Below are 22,282 nucleotides of genomic sequence, written 5' to 3'. Positions count from 1 at the left end.
ATAGTAATTCTATGTTTAAGTTATTGAGAAACCAGCTCCAATATTTTAAAATTATTGTCTTCATGAAGCTTCTTGAAGATAACTATGTCTAATCCACCACTGAATGCTCAGGCACAGTACTCAGCCCATTGGAAAATAATTTGATTAACAGTATGAAAATCACTATGGGTCAAGGTCCAGTTTTCCCTGTGCCAACAGGTTGCTGACCCTTAGAAGAGCACAGAAGGTCAGGGGCTACCACTTACTTTTATTTATAGGATCTGCCATGGGAATTCCAATCCGGATACAGTTCGCAGCTTCTGGGCTCTCTGGCTGGGGGAGATCTTCACAGTTTGGCAGTTTCAGCCTCATCAGAATCATGGGATTTGATCTTGCAAAAATGTACTCTGTTTGACACAGGACATTCTCCAGGATTTCACATTCATCGCGACACAAGTCACGGGGCTTTGGGACGGATGAAGTTTCATCGCAGTACGGGAAGGCATAGTGGCACAGGGAAGGAATGGCGAACTGAGAACACTTATCAGATAAGTGACTGGAAGTGCCAATCATAGTGAAGGCAGCTGGAAAACAAACACAATTATTAACTCCCAGAGGCCAGGGTTTATCTTCTTTGGTTATCTAGTCAACGGATATCAGATATAAACACACATTGCAAGGAATCCGCCGTGCTGAAACAGACAAGGCCCAGAGAAGGAGATTCATTTCAGATGTCTAAGCAGCTTACTTTCACTGGCTTGAAAAAAACCATTTTGACTACAAAGTTAATAAAACAGGATTAAATTACATATGTACCATTTCCTAATAAAAAAATTAATTAAGTTAAAGTACAATATATTTTTCATTTTTTACTACAAAGCAATCGAACTTTGTGTTTCATCTGGTGCTTTTTATTAGTTTTGTGAGGCTTCTAAAACATTTGACAGCTGTAGGGACAGAACTTGTTTCCGCAGTGGCTGAGCCTGAGCACAGGATCCAGTTCTGTGTCTTGCTGGACGGCAAGAGTTGCTGGATGACTTAGGGTAACTTGCTTAATTTCTTTGTGGCTGGAATACTTTCTACTCCATCTTCTGAAAATGAGGCAACTCACTTGGAAGTTCTCAAAGAGCACAGTACAATTGTTCCAATGTGTATCATCGAATATTAGTGGTTCCTTAGCTTAATCTCTTACTAGTAGGGTAAGATGCACAAAAAGCGCACCAGCCTACCTTTGAATACCGCTATTGACAAGGAGCTTACACCTCACAAGGAAACCTAGGAGGTTGCTGATACATTATTTCCCCAAGTATGTTGCTCAGAACATTAATCATGTGAAATAGAATAGTGCTTGAGAAACAAGCCAACAAGTTTGGGAAACGCTGGGATAAACAAAGGTAAATGAATTTAAAAAAAAACTTTCCACCAGGCTGATACCCATTAGAAATCTCCAAGAGAGGATTTTTATAAATAGGTTACCAATTATTTACATCAAAACTTCCACTTTTTTTTTTTTTTTTTTTTTTTTTTTGAGACAGTCTCACTCTGTCGCCCAGGCTGGAGTGCAGGGTTACGCTCTCAGCTCAGTGCAACTTCTGCCTTCCAGTTTCAAGGGATTCTCATGCCTCAGCCTCCCACATAGCTGGGACTACAGGCATGTGCCACCACACCCAGCTGATATTTGTATTGTTTTTTAGTAGAGATGTGGTTTTGCTATGTAGGCCGGGCTGGTCTCGAACTCCTGGCCTCAAGTGATCTGCCCACCTCAGCTTCCCAAAGTGCTGGGATTACAGGAGTGAGCCACTGTGCCTGGCCCAAAATGTCTACTTGCTTTTGTGGATATTCAGTTAAAAGTACATTAAGGCATTCTTACATTAGGTTGAAATGGGTGTTTAACAGCTCCTCCCTGTCAGTCTTACTGCTCTTTGAAATTTCAGAATTCTCTTCCTGTTGAAATGAGGGCTTCAGAAAATGGCAACTACCTATTCCTACAGTTGCTTCTTTTGGTTGGTTAAAAAGTCCTCCAGGAGGCTGATGCAGGAGAATGGCATGAACCTAGGAAGCAGAGCTTGCAGTGAGCCGAGATCGCGCCACTGCATTCCAGCCTGGGTGACAGAGCGAGACTCCATCTCAAAAAAAAAAAAAAAAAGTCCTCCTCCCTCTTCCCCCCAGCCTCCTCTCAGTTCCTTCACATTCCTCATAGCACATAGCTTCCACATAGCTTCTGGGCCTTTTGCTGTTCTATGTTTCTGCCTTGGGTTTGTTCTTACCTCTCCTAGACCCTAGGGTTGCCAGATAAAGAAAAAGACAACGGTTACATTTTAATTTCAGATAAATATTTATGACATACTTATACTAAAAAATTATTCGTTGTTTATCTGAAATTCAAATGTTACTGGGTATCCTGAATTTTTATTTGCTAGATATGGCAACCTCATTAGAATGTCATGAAGACAATGTGAATGGATTGCAAAGGATACGTGACACAGAGGCATCATAACTACACTAATGGAAGGGGACAAAGCTGCTGTAACCACCAGAACGATGCGTGCAAAATCCTATGAGGCAGCCTATGCTACTTTAACTCATGTGTGCTAGTAAGTGCTTCGCTATTAGATTTCTATCAAAAGGATACTTTCAATTAAGAAAAATGAAGAGTGAAATATTGAAAGCTAGAGCAAGAAGAGACCAATGGTCATCTTGCTTCATCACTCATTTCACAGATGAAGAAGGGGACTTTTTGGGAAAGTAAGCGATTTCCCCAAAGTTCACTGTCATAATAGTTCTGGGATGAGTGTCCAGAACTCTAAACTCTAAATTCATCCCCTCTCAGTCGACATCATGTTGCTTCTAAACAGTAAGCTCTGTGAGGGCAGAGACGTACCTGGCTTATTTACACACCATCACCTCTCCCATTCAGATTCAGTTCCTGGTACGGTGAAAGCACTTAATAATATTTATTGAGTGTTTGAATGAATGTGAGATTTCACAAAGCTTCCTTTTCCTCTAAGAGCAACCTTCAATAAATTACTTTAATGTAAATTCCAGAGCACAGAGATCATGTCTCATGCTTTTTTATGGTCCTGCTCCCAACCTCCATGCTGAGCTTAATCCTTTGTCAAGAGAGGAGCTCAATAAAACTTTTGGCGAGAAAAATAGTTATTCAAGGGACAAATATAATTTCATTGGTGCTACCTACCTGTGATCTGATTTTCTATTTCCCCTTGCATGTGCAAAGACTCCATATAGACGGTGCGGTTGCCAATAAATCTTGCACATGCAATCCCTCTGTATGGCTGACAGAATCCATCTTCTTCATACTCATCTCTGAAAGAAAGCATAGACAGACATTAGCTGATGCACCACATACATACAGGGCACAGCAAGCTCTGACTGCGCGATACCCTAAATAGTCACTAGGGGGCACAGTTGGGCACAATATACAAAAGACTGGGCTAAGGAATTGGGCTTTTGCTCAGTTCTTAAAACATCTGTTGGTCACATTGGTCAAGTTTCCTACACCCCCAGAAAGTCATCCTGAAGCACAAAATCATCCTTAAATATGGGAGAAAATGCTTTTATTTTCGCAGCTGGTGGTGGGCTGGAAGATGATGTAGTTATAGGAGTAAAGAGGAAATGAGTTGGAAATCTGGGCACATGTTCTACAGTTTTTTGTTTTTTAAGCACAGATTATTTCTGCTTCATTTGCTACAAAGGCGTGGGCGAACAGATCCACTCCAACTGACACGTCAATTAGGGGGATCCATGGGGTGAGAAGCTGGGTGCAGCTGGAAAGAAACCCGAGGGTAGCCCAGTTAGGTGACTCTTCACTGCTGAACCTCCATTATCTCTACCCTGCCCAAAGAGGACCAGGGCAAACCATAGTCTGGAGAGTTTGAATTGAGTCACTAAATCCAAGGAAATCTAGAGAAAATGTCCATGGAAAGTTTGCTTTCATGCTTCTCTACAATTTAAAAAAATAGTCTTATTAAAATTTTGCGGCCTCAAAATTATAAGACTTTTTTTATAAGGAGGGGTAATAGATTTCATCTTGAAGACAGAGGGACACCAGAAATGACATGATTCATGTGCCAGGTAAAAGGACTGGAGATCTAAGGCTGGAGATGAAGACCCAAGATGGCAGGCTCAACCTGAAAGGGCAGAGGCTACCATCTCCCACGAGGGCCTACGATGAGCACAAGATCCCTCGAGTGCAGAACATCCAGCTGTTTCTCAAAGGCAGACCATAGCCAAACCAAAGTCTGCCTGCCACGTGTATAAGTTGACTTCAACCCTGGATGCTCCTCCTCAATATATCATCTCAAAAAAAAAAAAAAAAATACACCGTTTTTCCCCTTTGGTTTCTTCTAAGTAAAAATCCCTCAGAGCAAAGTCAGGAGAACAAAATTCTCTTCCTGAGTTTAACATTTGGGCATCCTTAGGCAAGCTGTCTGAGCCCTCTGAGCCACAATTTTCTCATCTACAAGTTGGACACAGTAACTGACTTCTCTGCCCTACATGGGAAAGTCATTATGATCCCATCAGATAATGTAAAAGCTTTTTTAAATTGTAGAGATAATATATGGCTATTCTTAAAGTATTTACAATGACCAAAGGGACATTTATTTAAAAGACAGTTATTTACTAAGCTCCCACATCGTAAGAGGCACTGCGGTTAGTGCTGTGGTGCTCACTTCCCAGCTTGAAGGTCTAGCGTAGGAGTCTAGAAAGTCAAAGTATAGGAGCAAACCAAGTGGAAAAATCACCTGATAGGACACTAATTTTCTGCTTCTCTCTACTCCCATTCATTAAAAGAATCATTTTAAAGGTGAAAGTGGGGGAAGTATCTTCAGTTTAGTACTGAAAATAGTTTGTGTTGCAAAGCTCTTAAAAACTTAACCTTTAAATACACATACAAATGAATATATCATATACCTGACATAAAGACATTGAAATTTTACTGTTGCACAATCCTGCAAGCACTCCACATGTTTACTTTCATAAATCCTAGAGTAATGCTGAAGCCTTTTTGGCTTAAATTTTACTTGGGTTGTAAAATTAACCCAACTTTTATTGGGTAACTAATACCATAAACCTATGGGGAGAAAGAAGGTTCTTGATGACCCACACTTGGATCTTGGAAACCTAAGTACAGAGACCAGAATACACCCCCATGCCACCCCCCTGCTATTACAGATGATGCTTTTCTATCCCTAGGCATTAGCAGAGCCCTGGATTTTTAAGGTGTCATTATGAGAACACTTCTTTCTCCCCCACATTAAACTCTCAAGGCTTCAATTTATATCTCTTGGGAGGACAAAACCCTGGAATTACCCCCAGATATAAATCCCCAACCTACTGGGAGTTCCCATATTTTATGTGTGAGGCTTAGGCTAAACTTCTTACCACCTTTCCAGTTCAAGACTCTTAAAAAGACTCTTTGAATACTTTTTTTCAGAATAAAATGGAATGCAATTCCTTGGCTGCACATTTCTTATCAAAGGCTTAGAACTGCAGGTGTATTAAATTTTTGACTATTCCCAGAATTCCTACTATCCTGTTCAGTCTCCTGGGAGACAGATTTTTTAAAAAAGAACACAAAAAAACCCCAAAACCAGTATGTACTGTTATCTGCTGGGGAGTGGTTCTGTCTTGGCTCCTTATGAGAATCGCCTTGGCAGCACACTGGGAGGCCGAGACGGGTGGATCATCTGAGGTCAGGAGTTCAAGACCAGCCTAGTCAACATGGTGAAACCCCATCTCTACTAAAAATACAAAAATTAGTTGGGTGTGGTGGCAGGTGCCTGTAATCCCAGCTAGTCAGGGGGCTGAGGTAGGAGAATCACTTGAACCCAGGAGGTGGAGGTTGCAGTGAGCCAAGATCATGCCACTTCACTCCAGCCTGGGTGACAGAGTGAGACTCCATCTCAAAAAAAAAAAAAAAAAAGAATGAAAGAATCTCCTTGAGAAGCTTTAGGAAATACGAATGCCCAGGCCCCACCTTAGACCTATTAAATCATAGTCTCTGGGGATGAGGCTTAGGTATCTATGCTTAAAGAAACCTATCAGGTGATTTGAATGTGGTTGAGAACCACAACACTGAAAAAAACCAAACATGTATTAAGTGTCTGCTGCTCTGGGCTGGGTACTGTGTTAGGTGCTTTCTTCAAAGCAGCCCCTGATGAGCTATTATCCTTATTTTACGAGAGAGAAACTCAAATTCAGAGAAGTTAAGTAACTTGCTCAAATTCACAAAGTCAGTCTGTGGTGGAGCTAGGATTTAAACTGAAACTCAAGATGAGGCCACTATCCCATGTTGTTAGATCTGTAACTATGTTCTGCGTTTCAATACTACTCTTAGTTAAATCAGCCTACTCGAGAAAGAGACCTTATAACGAGTCTTGATTCTGTATCAGATACTGCTAAGTTTTATATACTTACAAAACAGATACTAAGTCATTTTATCCCAACAACAATCTTATAAAAAAAGGTAAAGATGTAATTATTCCTGTTCTACAGATGAGAAAAGTGAGACTCAGAAAGCATAGAGAACTTATCCAAAGTTACGCAGCAAGTAGAAGAGCTAGATTTGCTCTAAATAGTGTTTCTAACCACACTCTATAACTTCTTTCCAAGTGGCTTGGCAATGGAGTTTTTGCACTGCTTAGAGGGGCTTTCTGCTGTGGAGAAGCTTTGGTGCATTCTGGGTGGTAAAAGGTTTTCTTTTAAACATAAAGTCAAAAACACATTTCTTTCTTTTCCATTTTTCCCCACTGGCTTTGGCTGGAGGGGAACAAATGCTCCTCCAGCATTAATCAGCTTTATGCTTTTTTCCAGCTCACACTTCTTTCATCATTGATGTCTTCCTGCCTTACTCCATGCTCAGCAAATTAAAAACATGAAGCAAGTGGCAAGGTAGCAAAAGTGCAAGGGCACTTGCAGTGAGCGTGCCCAAGGCTGCATTCAATGGAGAAGAAAAGTGCATTGTGAAAGGGCAAATGGAATTTGGCCATTCATCACAGTGGCTGGCACCAGCGTGCGCCGCTGCCTCACCATGATGTCAAGGTGCAGGGGTGCTTTGTGATGGGAGCTCATGTTTCTCATAAAGGTAATTGAGTTACCATGTTGCCAGCCTCTACAACCTGCCATATTCTCTGCCATGGGATTGGGAAACGCAAATGTGGTCTGTAATCCACCTCCAGGGTCTCCTCCTTCTCCAGGGCAAGGAGCTTATGAAGGATATTTGAAGAGTGCTAAGAGGGATCGTGGAACAGTGCGGCAGCAAAAGGAGTGCCCATCTAGGAACCACTGCAGAGCAAGGAAAGGAAATGCTGTTCTGCAGAGACTTCATAATCTAGTTCTTGCCAGTTTTTCCAGCTTCCTTCCCTGCCAGACAAGCCTACAAGCCTGATGGTATTAGTCATGTGGATGATCTTGCTAGTCTCAAACCACAGGATGCACTTCGATGCGGACATGGCTTGACCCATGCTCATCCTTAGGGCTGGCATGCCCTCCACCCCCTCGTTCTCCTTGTGAATGTTCTCATCTTTCAGACCCAAATGCCCCTACCTTCCCTGGAAAGTTAGTCACTCACTAACCCCACCCATTCCCAGTACTTTCATCAAACCATTCCACAGATTTCCAGTTTCATATACTATTTTATCTGTTTAGCGCCCACCTTACCACTGACAGGCCAATAGAACTAGAAGAGATGAGGAGACTATCCCAGGGTAGCCCACCAAAGTGGACCCTTCTCCATACCAGGAGTATCCTCTAATTGGAAGCGATTTTCTTCCTCATCAGAATATACAGGGCATGGGCAGACATAGCTGAACCGATCGGTACTGACAAATTTGGTCCTAAAATATTCTTTTTGGGGATAATTTCAGTTAAAATGCCTATCTCTCTCTCTTTTTTTTTTTTTTTTTTTTTTTTGAGATGGAGTCTCGCTCCCATTGCGCAGGCTGGAGTGCAGTGGCGCGATCTCAGCTCACTGAAACCTCCACCTCCTGGGTTCAAGCGATTCTCCTTCCTCAGCCTCCTGAGTAGCTGGGATTAGAGGCGTGTGCTACCATGCCTGGCTAATTTTTGTATTTTTAGTAGAGACAGGGTTTCACCATGTTGGCCAGGCTGGTCTTGAACTCCTGACCTCAGATGATCCACCTGCCTTGGCTTCCCAAAGTGCTAGGATTACAGGTGTGAGCCACCACGCCGGGTCTCCTACCTCTTCTTAATGAGAAGAGAATGGATGCAGAGGGACTTTCCTGACTGTAAAATCTCACTTAAACCAAAGAATTGAAAACAGGTACTCAAACACACACTTGTACACAAATGTGCAGAGCAGCACTATTCACAATAGTCCAAAGGTGGGAACAACTCAGGTGTTCATCAACAGATGAATGGATAGACAAAAGGTGGTAGATACATACAATAGACTATATTATTCAGCCATGAAAAATGAATGAGGTACTGAAACAGGTTACGATGTGGGAGAGCCTCAAAAACATGCTAAGTGAAATAAGCTGAACAAAAAGGGCACATATTGTATGATCCCATTTATATGAAATATTTAAAATAGGTAAGTCTTTAGAGAAAAGCAGATCGGTGGTTGCTAGGGGCTGGGGACAGGGAGGAATAAGAAGTAACTGCTTAGCGGGCAAGGAATTTTATTTTGGGATGATGAAAATGTTTTGGAAGTAGACAGATGTGGCGGTTATACAACATTATGAATATACTAACTACTATTGACTTATTCATTTTAATATGGTTAATTCTGGCTGGGTGCAGTGGCTCATGCCTATAATCCCCGCACTTTAGGAGATCAAGGTTGGGAGGATTGCTTGAGGCCTGGAGTTCAAGACCAGCCCGGACAACATAGTGAGACTCTGTGTCTACAAAATTAAAAATGAAAAAATTAGCAGGGCATGGTGGCACACACATGTAGTCCTATCTATTCAGGGGGCTGAGGCAGGAGGATTGCTTGAGTCCAGGAGTTTGAGGCTGTAGTTAGCCATGATCACATCACTGCACTCCAGCCTGGGTGACAGAGCAAGACCATCTCTTTAAAACATAACGATAACAAAATAAATAATAAAATAAAATGGTGAACTCTATGTTATGTGAATTCCACCTTAATTAAAAAAAAAATATCATTTACACAAGGGCCAAGGTAGAGGGACCTTGGGAGAGGGCCAATGGTTGCAAATTCAGGCCTCAAGGTGGGGGAGGTCGTGGGGGTAGCTTTGTAAGTCACTTCCAAGCAGACTAAACTGATATAAGCATGAGCAGTTTACTCAGTATCAGCAGGTTCTTTTGTTCTGATTCTCATGGCTCTTCAAATGGAATGCCGGGGACAGTGACTTGGCAATCCCACAGCATGGCAGCCTCATAGGGACAGAGAGCAGTGAAATAAATAGCCCAACACCTCTGACCTCTGAATTTATCCCCCCAGCCCCTTTCATACACCCTGTTTTGAGCCATGGAGAGGAAATCACATCAAGATGGCTGCCCCTAAAACCCTTGAAGGAAAGTCATCACACAGCTCAAAGAGATGGACGGTCCATAGGTTTGCTCAGTGAGCAGTTTATTAAAGTGGGAGTTATTTTCTGTCATATGGATAGCAATTTCTCTTTACCCAAGCAAACACAACTTACTAATGCTTTCCCAAAAGACCATCATGGCCATGAATAAATGGAAAACATCCCTTTTTAAAACTTGTGAATCGGGCCACCTATTAGCAGATCTGGTTAAAAGCATGGCCACATAATGGCTCTAGTAACCTCGAGCTGAGTGTGAAGCTTCCCACTTCAGAGGCAGCGTTCTTCTCCCTTGGGAGGGGCAAACAGATCTCTCAAGGTAAAATTAGCCCTGGCTTTTAATAAAAATGGGGCTACATTATAAAATTAAGGATCCAAGTAAAAGATGCAGAATTATTCCAATGTAGACAGAAGATCAGAGACATAGAAACTTTAAGAACAGATTATAATTGGAGGTGGTCTGAAAAGTTACCTCCTATTCCAACCTACCTCCTTCCTCTTCTGGAGGAGACTTCAAGCCTGGAAGCAACCTTAGTTAACTGCTAACCAGGAGGAGGGGGCATCACTTAAATCTTATCAGCCCTAGCTGCACACACCTTGAAATGATGGCCCTGGGAGAGGGAGCATCTCTGGACAGGTATAGGCAGAGACAAGGAAAGGGATGGCTGGGGAGGGTGAGGATCCAGGAAGGGGAGCTGTCGGGAGCACCAAAAGCAGACTTCACCTCAGGCTGGCTGTGGTCAAGAGATTACAGGTTAAATATGTGATCCTGAAGTTATCTCACAAACTCTGCTTTCTAAAGACCGGTCTGAAAGTGAGCATCAAAAAGTACATGTTAACATACTTGACCTTTAAGGTCAGTTTTGAAAGGGAGCCAATCAAGGCATGTCAACCCAGAGGGCCAACGACTCACAGAGAAGCCTTAAATCTATAGGGTTGAGAATTCAGCTAACCCTTACATCCCTTTTTCTTTTATTGGAATGCCTTTGTAAGCATAAGCAATTTTGAGGTGACTGTGTCGAATATCACATGCTGGTTCCCACATCTGGTCAGTGACAATTTGGTTAACATTTATTCGCTTAGCTAAAGAGTCCCTCGACCTGTTTCATACCACCTTTTTTTCTTTAAAAAATTAAATCAAAATTTTGAAGTTTTTTTCCCTTGGCTATTAAAACAAACAGATGAATAACGTTCTGTCATAGTTTCCAGAGCAGCACGGAAGAGTTACTTGTGTCCAACTCAGAAAAGGGAAGGTATTGGCTTTGCTTCATAGTGATGTTTGGAAACACAAGGGTTTGCATTTCACTTGGAACAGGAGCAGAATTACCCAGGCTTGTATCTCACAAACGTAATTTGAGGGAAAATTATGTGTGTAATATATTTTATTCCTATTTAAACACACATTTGAAATGATAGGACTGCACTAGTACAGTATTTGCAAGAATACAGAAGACTGCTAATCAAAAGAATGAGTGATTTTTTACTGTCTTCAATTTACTGAGGTTTTCATGATAGGGCGGCCTTGCACCTCTAAGAATGCTTTGGTTGTTTTTACTTTTCCTCTGTTAAGGGCCTGCTTTGCCCCCAAGGTTAGGCTGAAGCTGGAAATGCATAGGTGACACTTGGAGTCCCCGAGTTCAGCGCCCCCAAGTTCTTATTAGAGACCCCTTGGATGTGCTTTGAAAGTTCTCCAAATATCAGGCATTCAAACCACCCCCTAAAATTGCCTATTAAGAATAATGGGACTTTAGAATAATATGAAATTCACACATACCAATCTAGGCAGATTTTCTACCACAAGTGTTACTGGAATTGCTTTGATTTTTTTTTTCTTTCCTTTTATGCCTTTGGGCATGGATTGAAAAAGAGAAGGTTTGTGGAAAGAGTGGTAAATGGAATTCAGGGACATCTTAGAAGGGTTTTAATTTCATCTTACTACTCAGAAGTGGGGTGAAACCCAATCCCCAATTCTTGCTTTTCTGTCTCATCTCAGCTTTGTTTCCCATTCCTTCTGCTGATGGTGGTTAAAAAAAGACTACTGGCCTCCGTAAAAAGCAATGGTGAGTTTAATGCCTCTCTGTACCCTCAACTCCAGCACCCACCCAAAGGCAATACAGAGATGCCCATGTCACAGGTAGAATCTTACAAATTTTTATAATGGCAGAAGCAGCAATTCACATTAAAATAATGATTAATTTGTAATGCACAGATTTGTCCTGTTCCTCCTCTGTTTCAATCTTCCTAAAGGCTTCCCTTGTCATGCTAAGTAAAACTGGCATCTTTACAATATCCTTACATCATCTTCTCCTGCCTCACCTTGCCTCTCTGACCTCATGCCCTGCCACTTCCCCCCGACACTTACTTGATTATTACCTCTTGTGTTAATATTTAGTCTCATCAGGCATACTCTGTATTGATATATTCAATTGTTTATTGTTTATAAACAAACTTCATGGGACTAGGAACTTTGCTTTGGTCACTACTATGTCCCTAATGGCCAGAATAGTGCCTATTCAGTGTCAAGTTGTTGATACTTAATAAATAAACGTTCAATAAGTGAATTAAATCTCTCCCACTTTTTATTTTAATTTCTGTGTGGTGGCATCCTCTAGCAATCTGAAATGTGTAGTCAATCTCTCTACTTCCCCACCCCAGCCACCCAACCTCTCCATGCATTTTTCTTTATTTTTTGAGACAGGATCTCACTCTGTCACCTAGGCTGGAGTGCGGTGGTGAGACCACAGCTCACTGCAGCCTCAAACTTCCAGGCTTAAGTGATTCTCCTGCCTTAGCCTCCTGAGTAGCTGTAACTACAGGCTTGTGCCACCATGCTTGGCTAGTTTTTTTACTTTTTTTTTTTTTTTTTTTGTAGAGACAGGGTCTTGCTATGTTGCCCAGGCTGGTCTTGAACTCCTGGACTCAAGCAATCCTCCCACCTTGATCTCCCTAAGTGCTGAGATTACAGGCATGAGCCACCATACCTGGCCTCCCCATGCATTTAGTTTTGCTAAATGGAAGAAATAATGAGAAGAGGAAGAGGGGCAGCTTCTAAGAGTAGCAACCTTGAAAACTAAATTTGCTTCCAAAGGAATTCTTGAATTTGACCACTTTCTTCCCTCATGGCTCAGGTCCCACCACCTGTCAGCTGCCCCTCACTGAGAGCCCTGCCTCCAACCTTCCACTCTTCCAATCCATCCTCCAAAGGCTGCAAAAGGCCATCTAAGGTGGAAATCTGTGTGATTGCTGAGGCTGATGTTCTTCACAAGCCATCTGGCCGTTCTTGGGTCCACAGTAAGTGAATACTTGTTATTAGAATGCCTGTATGAGATTGGAAGCTCACGAGCATCTCAGCTAATTTGGTTTTCAAGTTAAGATGGTTTATTCTTTTTCTCCTCTTCATTTCTTCTTCCTACCATTATGCCCTATTGAGATTTTATTCTATGCTCAACAGTATTCTAGGCCTCGAGGTAGACATCAAAAAAATTACCTTTGAATTTCAGCATGGATATAATTTGTGATCATACATGTTTATGAAAATACTACATTGCCCCAAACCAGAAGCAACCAAGAGAGAGGAGACAGAGAAAGAGACAGACACACACAGCGGAAAGACAAAGAGAGAAAGAGGAGAGAGAGACAGAGAGAGAGAGAGACAGAGAGAGAGAGAGACAGAGAGAGGAGACAGAGAAAGAGACAGACACACACAGAGGAAAGAGAAAGAGGAGAGAGACAGAGAGAGACAGAGAAAGAGAGAGAGATGAAAGCTTACTATACGCCTACCTTGTACCAGGAACCCCTCAAGGTAGGTAGCATTATCTCCATTTTATAGTTGAAGAATTAGGTCCAGAGATTAAGTCTCTTTCCCAAAAGCTTAGGTCTTGCTCCAAATTTCTTGCAGTGTCCATTATAAGAAATATATAATAAAGCCAAGAGCTTTGAAATGTGTACATATATGATTTAGTGAAAAAGAGACAACACAAAACAGTATTTGCACAAATAACACCGCCATGTAAAGTGTGGAAGGAGTTTAGATGGAAACAGTTCGATTTTATTGGATTATTCATCCTCAAAATTGCCCAAGTGCTTAACAGTGATACAATAGTTAGGTTAAAATATTGAGGAAACAAACTTGAAAAAAGGTGCTAGGTTTTGTTCTACACTGCCTAGACTCAGCAGAAGGGAGAGAATTTGTAAGCAATGGCTGAAGAAGGATTTTTAGAGGAGAAGAAGAGGGTGGAAGATGTGGGAGGTACCTAAAGCCAGAAAGATAATGAACAGAAAAAGATCCCTCCCAGGCAGCCTGGCTGGATTCAAGGTCCCTCCATCCAACAAGGACTGTTCTCACTTCCTAGATATGGCCAGGAAAAATGCCAGCCAAGTACATTTCAAGTTTCTCTAGGGCATTCCCTAACTGAAGCATGATGCTGGGACTGAACTTGGCATTGCTGAGTGGAAAAGTCACCGGACTGGAAATGAGAAGACCAGGGTCTTGGTCCCACTTTGGCTGCCAACAAGGTTATTTCCATACAACCTTGGATAGGTCACTTACCTTCTTTGTCCTCACTTACTCCATTTGTATAATATGGAAGTTGAACTGTATAATATGTTCTTTCCAATTCTAACCTTTTATGGTTACTCTAGTGTAAGCTCTCAAAATATCCCACCAAGATGGCTGCAGGAGTCTCCTAACTGGTCTCTCTACCTCCATTCTTGGCCTGTAAATTGATCTTTCCTGTTGCCATAGAATGATGAGCTAATAGGTAGATTGCATTATCTCTTTCTCACAAATGTTCAGTGACTCTCTATTGTATAAAGTCCACTGGCAACAGTCCTAGCACATTAACAGCAATCACAAGGTCCCTATATAACTGCCCCATGGACATCTTCAGCCCAGTCTCCTGCATTGCCCCTCTTGGTTCTCAGGTCCTGGTATTAAAGAACAGCTTATAGTTTCTGAACATATCACACTGGCACTGATGTTTGTGCCTTGGCTATTTCCCTTCCAGGAAATCCATTCTCATTTTTCTTCACCTGGCTCTCTGTCCCTCATCCTTCCAGTTTCGGTTCAGTCTTATCTCCTTTAAGATGCTTTCCTGAAACTTTCAGATTAGTTCATGAGAAAATATGTTCTCTCTAGCATCCTTCACTGTATAATTATTATTTGTTGAGAAGTCTGTTCCTCTACCAGGCAGAATGTTCCAGAAATACAGCAACTGTTCTTACTTTTCCATGTAGTAGTAATGCAACCCCAGTCTCACTCCCAGCAGAGTCTAGTACATATAACTTGGTTTGTAGAAGGCACCAAATAAATGTTTATAAAAGCGCACTCTATGTTTCTCTGCTATGGCTACACAGACCTCCTACAGATTCCAACACCTTCAGCCTTTAGCAAGCCCTCATTTGAATACAATCCCAAAGGTGGAACAAGGCAAGTTCCATCCCTATTTCTTAAGTGCACTAGGCGAACTCCCCATAAGCCCTGCAACTTTAGTCTTTTAGTTTCGGGGCTGGCGGGTCCAAGGCAGGCTCATGGCTCCCCACCTCTCCCACTGATTAACCAGAAATGAAAAGGCTTCACAATCCCTGGGCCCAGGTTGCTGTTATGTGGGGCTCGTAGTACGGAATCGTATCTGACTCCATGAGAGTATTTGAAGCTTTACTAAACACCCCTAACCTATCAACTCCCAGCTTTGTAGTCATTTCCAGTTGGAATGTTTTTAGACTGCAAAAAGACAGGTTTGTGAAAAGACATAAACATCTTTGGTGAGAGGTGACATACGTTTTCTCCTAGTGAAAGCAAGACACTCCTGTAGATTCTGCAGTTTTTGGATACTGCACAAAATACATCTCTTAGGCAATTAATCTCCTGGCAGGCTTTGAGTGAAGCAATTACCCCATGTTTTTCTTTGTCATTGTTCGAAAGTTTAACAGTGCATCTATCTACTTTATTTGAGTCTGGAAAGCCAAAGCCCGCCTTAAAACCTCTACAGCAAACATACGTAAAAACGTTTAGTGTTCACACATTTGATTAATATATTGACAAATTTTTTCATTAGAACATTAAACCCTTCACTTTATTCATCTTAAATGCTTTCCAGGAGAGTGACTTCCCCCATTAGAATGACTCCTAGTAACTCAATACAAACTTTGCAAGCAAGAGACCATGGAACATGGTAGTCTATTGTGCTCACATTCTGTGGTGAGGCAGCTGTAACTGGTTATGAACCAGTGCTGGAAATAGTATTTGGAGCTTTCTTGGCAGATTTCTTACATCGTTATTCAATATGAACTGCAAATCATATGCTCATAGTTATGAAAATGTCAGAAACTCCTAGTGTTCATGCTTTGTTTGACAAAGCTATTTTCGAGTAGTGTTGGAAGGCAGAGGCATCCAGCACTTGGGATGCAGAAGGAAAGAACCCCTTCCCACCCCTGGCAGTTTTTGAGAAGTTGGTAATTTGCTCCTATATGACAAGAGCTCAACTCTGAACTGATGGACGTACGTTTCACATAGTCTTGATTAGTCCAGGATGTGTGTCAGGGCTACTAGAGGTCTGGAAGGAAATGCAAGAAACTTGTGCACTTCTTGCTCAGTTTGGTCAAATGAGCTTCAGACCAGGGTCAGCAAACTATTTGACTCTGAATCCTAGGGGCAGCTGAGCAATGCTCCCCATGGAAGGAGCAGGAAAAAACCGGGCCTAGAAGGAAAGGAGAGAATAGACAGTGAAGAAAAGAAAAAGGGGCAGATGGAGACAGAGAGGGAAGGAGAAAGGGAAGAAGGGAGAAAAAGAAAGGCAAAGCTTGAGATCAGTCTAATATCTAACAATAATACAATAAATGTGCATGATTTAATTTATAATTTAAATTTAGACTTTCATCACATTCTTATAAGATACCCCAGGGCATTCTCATTCCACCCTTTTAAAAATAATACTTGTTGTGGTAATTTTGAAGAATAGAAGCACAAAGAAGGGAATTAAAATCATCTACATCCACAAACCACAGATAATTAAGGTTAATATGTAGCATATATTCTGTACACATACATATAAACACACAAATTATTTTTGCAAATTGGAATTATACTAGACATAGTTTTTTCTTTTTAATGTAATATGTATTTTCCACATTATGAAGTATTCTTCTAAAATATTACTTTTAGTGACCACAATTACACAGTTACCATTATATTCAACTTATCATTATTTATAAAAATGTTGAGATAAACATCCTTGTAGATAGATCCTTATATACTGCTATGATTATTTTTCTAGGCTCAAAACAATAAGTGGAATTATTTTGGGGTAAAAGGTATGCACATTTTCAGGGTTTTTACATGAATTTATAAATATCTTTTAAGAAAACTGTTATGACTTATATTTCTACCATCAATGGGGAAGAGTATCTATTTTTCTGCACTCAATGCCTACAAGTGCCTGTTAAAGTACCTGCTAGGTAAAATCACTTTAAGATCATACCTCGTTTTTTATCCTTAGTAAAGTTAAACATCTTTTTCATATGTTCACCTTTGTAAAACTTTTGTACTAGTTATTACATGAACTGTTTGTACATTTTTAGCACTTTTTCTGTCCATTCTATGTTTATATTAGTATTCTTTATTAGATGAAAACACTGAGGTTTTATGAGATTAACCAACTTTCCCAAGATCACACAGCTAGTTAAGTGGCAAAAATGGGATTCAAATTTGGGTTTTCTAAGTTGGCTTCATGTCATGCCAGGCACAGTGTTCTTTTCTAAATTCCAAGAATAATGATGTCCTTAAATCCAACATGTCAAAGACAAATCCACTAAATGCCAAAATGAATAAAACCCCGGGAACTTACAATAGTATAACAAGACATAGTGTCCCTCCATGAGGATCAAACATTGTTTTGGTCTTTGATTATACTCACCAAACTATGCTTGGAATATTTGCAGAGACATAGAGGTAGCCTATTAACCAGTTCTATAATGTGTTTTATTTAAATGATCTCTGGTGTCCCTTCCAGAGTGGCAGGCTTAAAGCAAATCTGGATGGGAGACCATGTGAGGAGAGATACTGAGGAAGGAAGGGGAGGCTTGCTGTTGTTAATCAAGATGGTGCATCAGTTGGTAGTGTATTCTACTGGATCAGTGAGGGAATGTAGCTATCAAAAACCTGAGTGACATTAGGGGCACTTGTGACTAGGATGTATTCTCTGAAATGAGGGAGGAGCCATTCTTTCTTCCCTCTTACTGGTCAAACTTCAACTTCACCCGGAGCATCAGGCACCACTGTGGACACCAGATGTCATCAGGGCTATACATCAGTGATCATTCATTAAAAGCAAAAAGACTAGGTTGGGGAAGAGAACTAAAATGATGTCGCAAGAGGAATCATTGAAGGAGCTAGAGATGTGAGCCTGGAGAGGAGAAGATTCCAGGGAAATGAGAACATCGTTCAAATGCTTGAAGGACAGCTCTGTGTCCTCTACCAGACAGATGTGCTCTTTAAGCACCTTCTCCAGTTCCTCATCTCCAGTATCCTAGCATATGGGGGTCAGCCAGAACACAGATATTTATTGGTGGCCTACTGACAGCCCACTCCTCCCACTCTTGGGGCCACAGCAGTGGACAAGGCAGAACGCCCTGTCTTACAGAGCATGCATCCTAAGGGTTTCCAGTACATGACTGCTGAAGGATCGATGAATACATAAGTGGATGCCTCAAAGATTAAACATCAAAATGGGGAACCACAGAGGAACATTTGGATTGAGAGGGTAAACCAATGATACCCTCAGAAATGATGGAAGAACAGTGGAAATGCCAGTCCCCAGAAAGCTGAAGTCAAGAGGTCTGAAGAGAAAGGGCCAATTAGTTCCTTCTTCCCCATCCTCACATCACATAGTTACATTTTAATGAAAGTTCCACCTGGTTAAATTGCATTGATGACTCCTACTGTTTTTAGGATACAGTGTAAATTCCTTAACCTGACTCATAAGCTAGCTCACAAATTGGATCTTGACTGTATTTCCAGCCTCAACATCTCGGGTTCAGACAAAACAAAGAGAATCAGATAGAAAATTCCTGCTTGGAGTCAACTAAATGCAGGCTAAGTGAGGCTAAGGGGAGCAGCCTTCAATGAATTTTACTGGTTCCTTCAACTAGCACTAATTGAGCACCTGGTTGGTGGCCAGGTTGTGGCAGCTGGTGCAGGTTCTGGTGCTCAAAGAGCTCACAGTTTAAAGAGGAAGAAGTAGCTAACCATAATGAAATGCCATAAGGTCTACTACCTGGTGAGGGCTGCCTCTCCAAGGGTAGAAGTCAGGAAGAAATGGAAGGAAAAGAGGCAGAGGTAGATCTATTGGTTCATTCTGCAGATACTGAGTGCTTGCTATGAGTAGCCACTATTTTAGGTGCCAGGGCTCAGTGGTGTACCAAGGGCTGGGCAACAGAGCAGTCTGCTCTGGTGCAGCCAATATTGGATGCAGACTCTGTGGATAATATAAAAACAATAATGAGACCAATTATGTTAGTCCACTTTTATTACCGTTATGCACCGGCAATTCAAACAATGTTGTTTAAAATACTCTTCCCCGCCAGGGTGCATATTCCCACTGCCCAGCCCTTGGTACACCACTGCTGGGTCTACTACATTGAACAAAACATCCCAAAATCCCTGCCCTCATGGCAGTTTACATTCCGGGGGAGGGACAGTGGTGGAGACTTCTAGTTGTCCATCAAGATCTGCTCTTCTCTCCCAATTTTAATAGTAGAACTCCTTACATTAACTGACCACCAGCTGGAGACCACAGCTAGATATGGTCATGTGACTATGTTCTGATCAAGGAGGTGTTTACCTTCTGATCAAGGTGTACCACCTCTGGGTCAGGTCCTTACCAAAATAAAGAAACAGGAGGATGGAAGGAAGGAAGGAAGGAAGGAAGGAGGAAAGGAGGAAAGCAGGGGAGGAGGAGGGAGGGAGGAAGGAAGAAAGGAAGGAAGGGAGGGACAGGGAAAGAAAGAGAGGAGACAGGAAGGAAGGGAAGGGAAAGAAGAAAAGAAAGAAGATAGGGCTGAGCAAAAAAAAAAAAAAAAAAAAAAAAAAAAAAAAAAAAAAAGGGGTATCTCCCTGACTGGAGTGTGGCCATGAAGAGAAATGCTGAAGAAGTCATCCAGAACAAGGTAAACACTACAGGTTGAGGCTGGCAGAGGGATAAGATAGACTGAGGCTGGATGTTAATGTGAACACTGGGAACAGAGATACCCTTCCAGCTATGGAGAGCCTCCTCTAGACTGGAGGGAAATCCATTTCTACCTTGATTAAGCCATTCTCCATCCATCCATCCACCCATCCATCCATTTATTACACCAACTTAGACTGAACCCTAAATAATACTGGGAGGTAGACTATAAACAAATAAAGGAAATATATAGTCTGGCAGGTGTTAAGTGTATGCAGGAAAATGAAGTGGGGTGGAGGAGAGTGAGTGTTGCTGGGTCAAGGAGGCTGCAGTGCCATTGTTACCATTAGACCTACATGGTCCAGTATGGTAGCAACTAGCCACACGTGCCTGCTTTTGAGCATTTGAATGTGGTGGGCTCAAACTGAGATGTGTGGTAAGTGTAAAATACACTCTGGATTTCAAAGACTTAGTACCAAAGAAAAAAAAAAGAGTAAAATATCTCATTCATATTTTTATATTTATTACACATTAAAATGAAAATATTTTGGATCTTTGGGTTAAAAATAGCTTATTAAAATTACTTTCATTCATTTTTACTTTTTAAAATGTAGCTCTTAAAAACTGAAGATGACGTATGTGGTTCCACTGGACAATGCTGCTTTAGGCTCCCCGTAGCAATTCCTCACTGTGCCCCCACACAGCGCTCTCCATGAACCTACTGCCTCCTTTGTATTGTTGACTCCCTAGGCCTCCCCCAACTCCAGGCTTTCCATGGTCCTGTTCATGGGAAAGAATCCTGCTCTCTGGATATTAGACTTTATTAATAATAATCATCATCAGCCAGTAGGTTCCTTTAAAGACTCAGCAAAGGGAGTTCCCTACGTGGAGGCCCAGTGCACATTGCGTCTTTGGAGAACAGTCGAGAACCACCAAAAGGTTTTGCTTCTCAAAAATAACACACCATTTCCTGACTGGACTGCCACAATACACACATTTCCACCATTGAAAGTTCACCTTTTCTTAAAAGTTTTTATTTCTAGAAGACCCCTTTTTAAGAAAGTGGCATTTGAAAATCTCTAAGTCACAGCATCCAAGAGCAAGGGCTTTGGAATCAAATAAACCAGAGTTCAAATCCTAGCTCTGCCCTTTCTTACCCATGTGGCCTTAAATAATTACTTAGCCATTTAAGCATCCATTTCTTCATTTCCAAAGTCAGGATATTATCACCTACACCTTACATGGCTGTCCTGACCTACTATGGTTCCACCTTTAACACATGTGCCATGGATATAGGTCAGCTCAGATTATAGACTATAGGCCCCCAGCCATCACTTTTTTTTTTTTTTTTTTTTTTTGAGACGGAGCCTCGCTCTGTCACCCAGGCTGGAGTGCAATGGCGCAGTCTGGGCTCACTGCAACCTCCACCTCCTGGGTTCAAGTGATTCTCCTGCCTCAGCCTCCCAAGTAACTGGGATTACAGGCGCCTGCCACCACGCCTGGCTAATTTTCGTATTTTTAGTAGAGACGAGGTTTCACCATGTTGGCCAGGCCAGTCTGGAACTGCTGACCTCATGATCTTTCTGCCTCAGCCTCCCAAAGTGCTGGGATTACAGGCATGAGCCACTGTACCTGGCTGCCAGCCATCACTTTTAAAAAGCTGTTGAGAATCGTGAATAAGGATAAAAAAATACAACTATGGGGGTATATACTTTCCCTTCCACTGCCTCTCAGAAAAATTCAACTGGGGGGAGTGGGCTGAAAAAGGCAGTAAAAGGGGGACCACATTCCCCCAGAGGATAAACAATAAACGCCAAAATTCCTGTTGTGCACGTATAGCATTCTACTGGGAGGCCAAGGGGTCAGGATTATGTGTGAAAAAAATTAATTGAAATGGCTCTTTAAGAAGCAAGAAAAACAAGGCAACCCCATCATGTCCTCAGTGAAATGTCCTTTTCACATTGGCCCTTGGGTTACGCCAGCCAGAGATGACCTGTCAAGGTGAGGCTGGCTGACACACGATGAAGTGTTTCATTAATACTGTCAAACCATGACAACATTTATGGTCCACGTGCTGGACTTTCACGTGTCACCTAGACATGAAATCTTTTAAAATTTCCATAGCCCAGAACAGTTGAAATATCAACAGCTTTTATCTATGAGTCACATGGAGGAGAAAGTGCTATATATGCATTATCTCATTTCACTCTCACTGTGACACTGGGCTTGTTAACTGGGTGTTGTTAACTCTGATTTACCGAGGCCTAAAAAGCCTCCTCATTTTCCCCTTGATCTGAGCATCAGAACGAGCATTAGGATCAGGTCCATCTAATTCTTTTTTTTTTTTTTTTTTTTTTTTTTTTTGAGATGGAGTCTCGCTCTGTAGCTCAGGCTGGAGTGCAGTGGCGCAATCTTGGCTCACTGCTACCTCTGCCTCCCGAGTCCCGGTTCAAGCAATTCTCCTGACTCAGCCTCCGGAGTAGCTGGGATTACAGGCATGCACCACCATGCCCAGCTAATTTTTGTATTTTTAGTAGAGATGGGGTTTCACCGTGTTGGCCAGGCTGGTCTTGAACTCCTGACCTCATGATCTGCCTGCCTCGGCCT

The 22,282-nt window shown here is 41.8% G+C and overlaps 1 protein-coding gene across 5 annotated transcripts in view; it reads right to left on the bottom strand.

Annotated features, from left to right (window-relative positions):
• The window catches only part of ROR1 (receptor tyrosine kinase like orphan receptor 1), a 407,482-nt gene that overhangs the window by 40,827 nt on the left and 344,373 nt on the right, over positions 1-22,282 (bottom strand). For all 5 annotated transcript variants that reach the window (NM_005012.4, NM_001083592.2, XM_011541526.2 and 2 more), the window contains 2 exons: positions 3,176-3,303; positions 246-563 (listed from right to left, as the gene is read on the bottom strand). In NM_005012.4, the coding sequence (NP_005003.2) occupies positions 246-563; positions 3,176-3,303 (446 nt within the window). The remainder of the gene's footprint in view (positions 1-245; positions 564-3,175; positions 3,304-22,282) is intronic.

The sequence above is a fragment of the Homo sapiens genome, chromosome 1, assembly GCF_000001405.40.
Source record: "Homo sapiens chromosome 1, GRCh38.p14 Primary Assembly".
NCBI lineage: Eukaryota > Metazoa > Chordata > Mammalia > Primates > Hominidae > Homo > Homo sapiens.
Note: the sequence above shows the minus strand (reverse complement) of the source record. Positions and strands in the feature narration are given on the sequence as shown.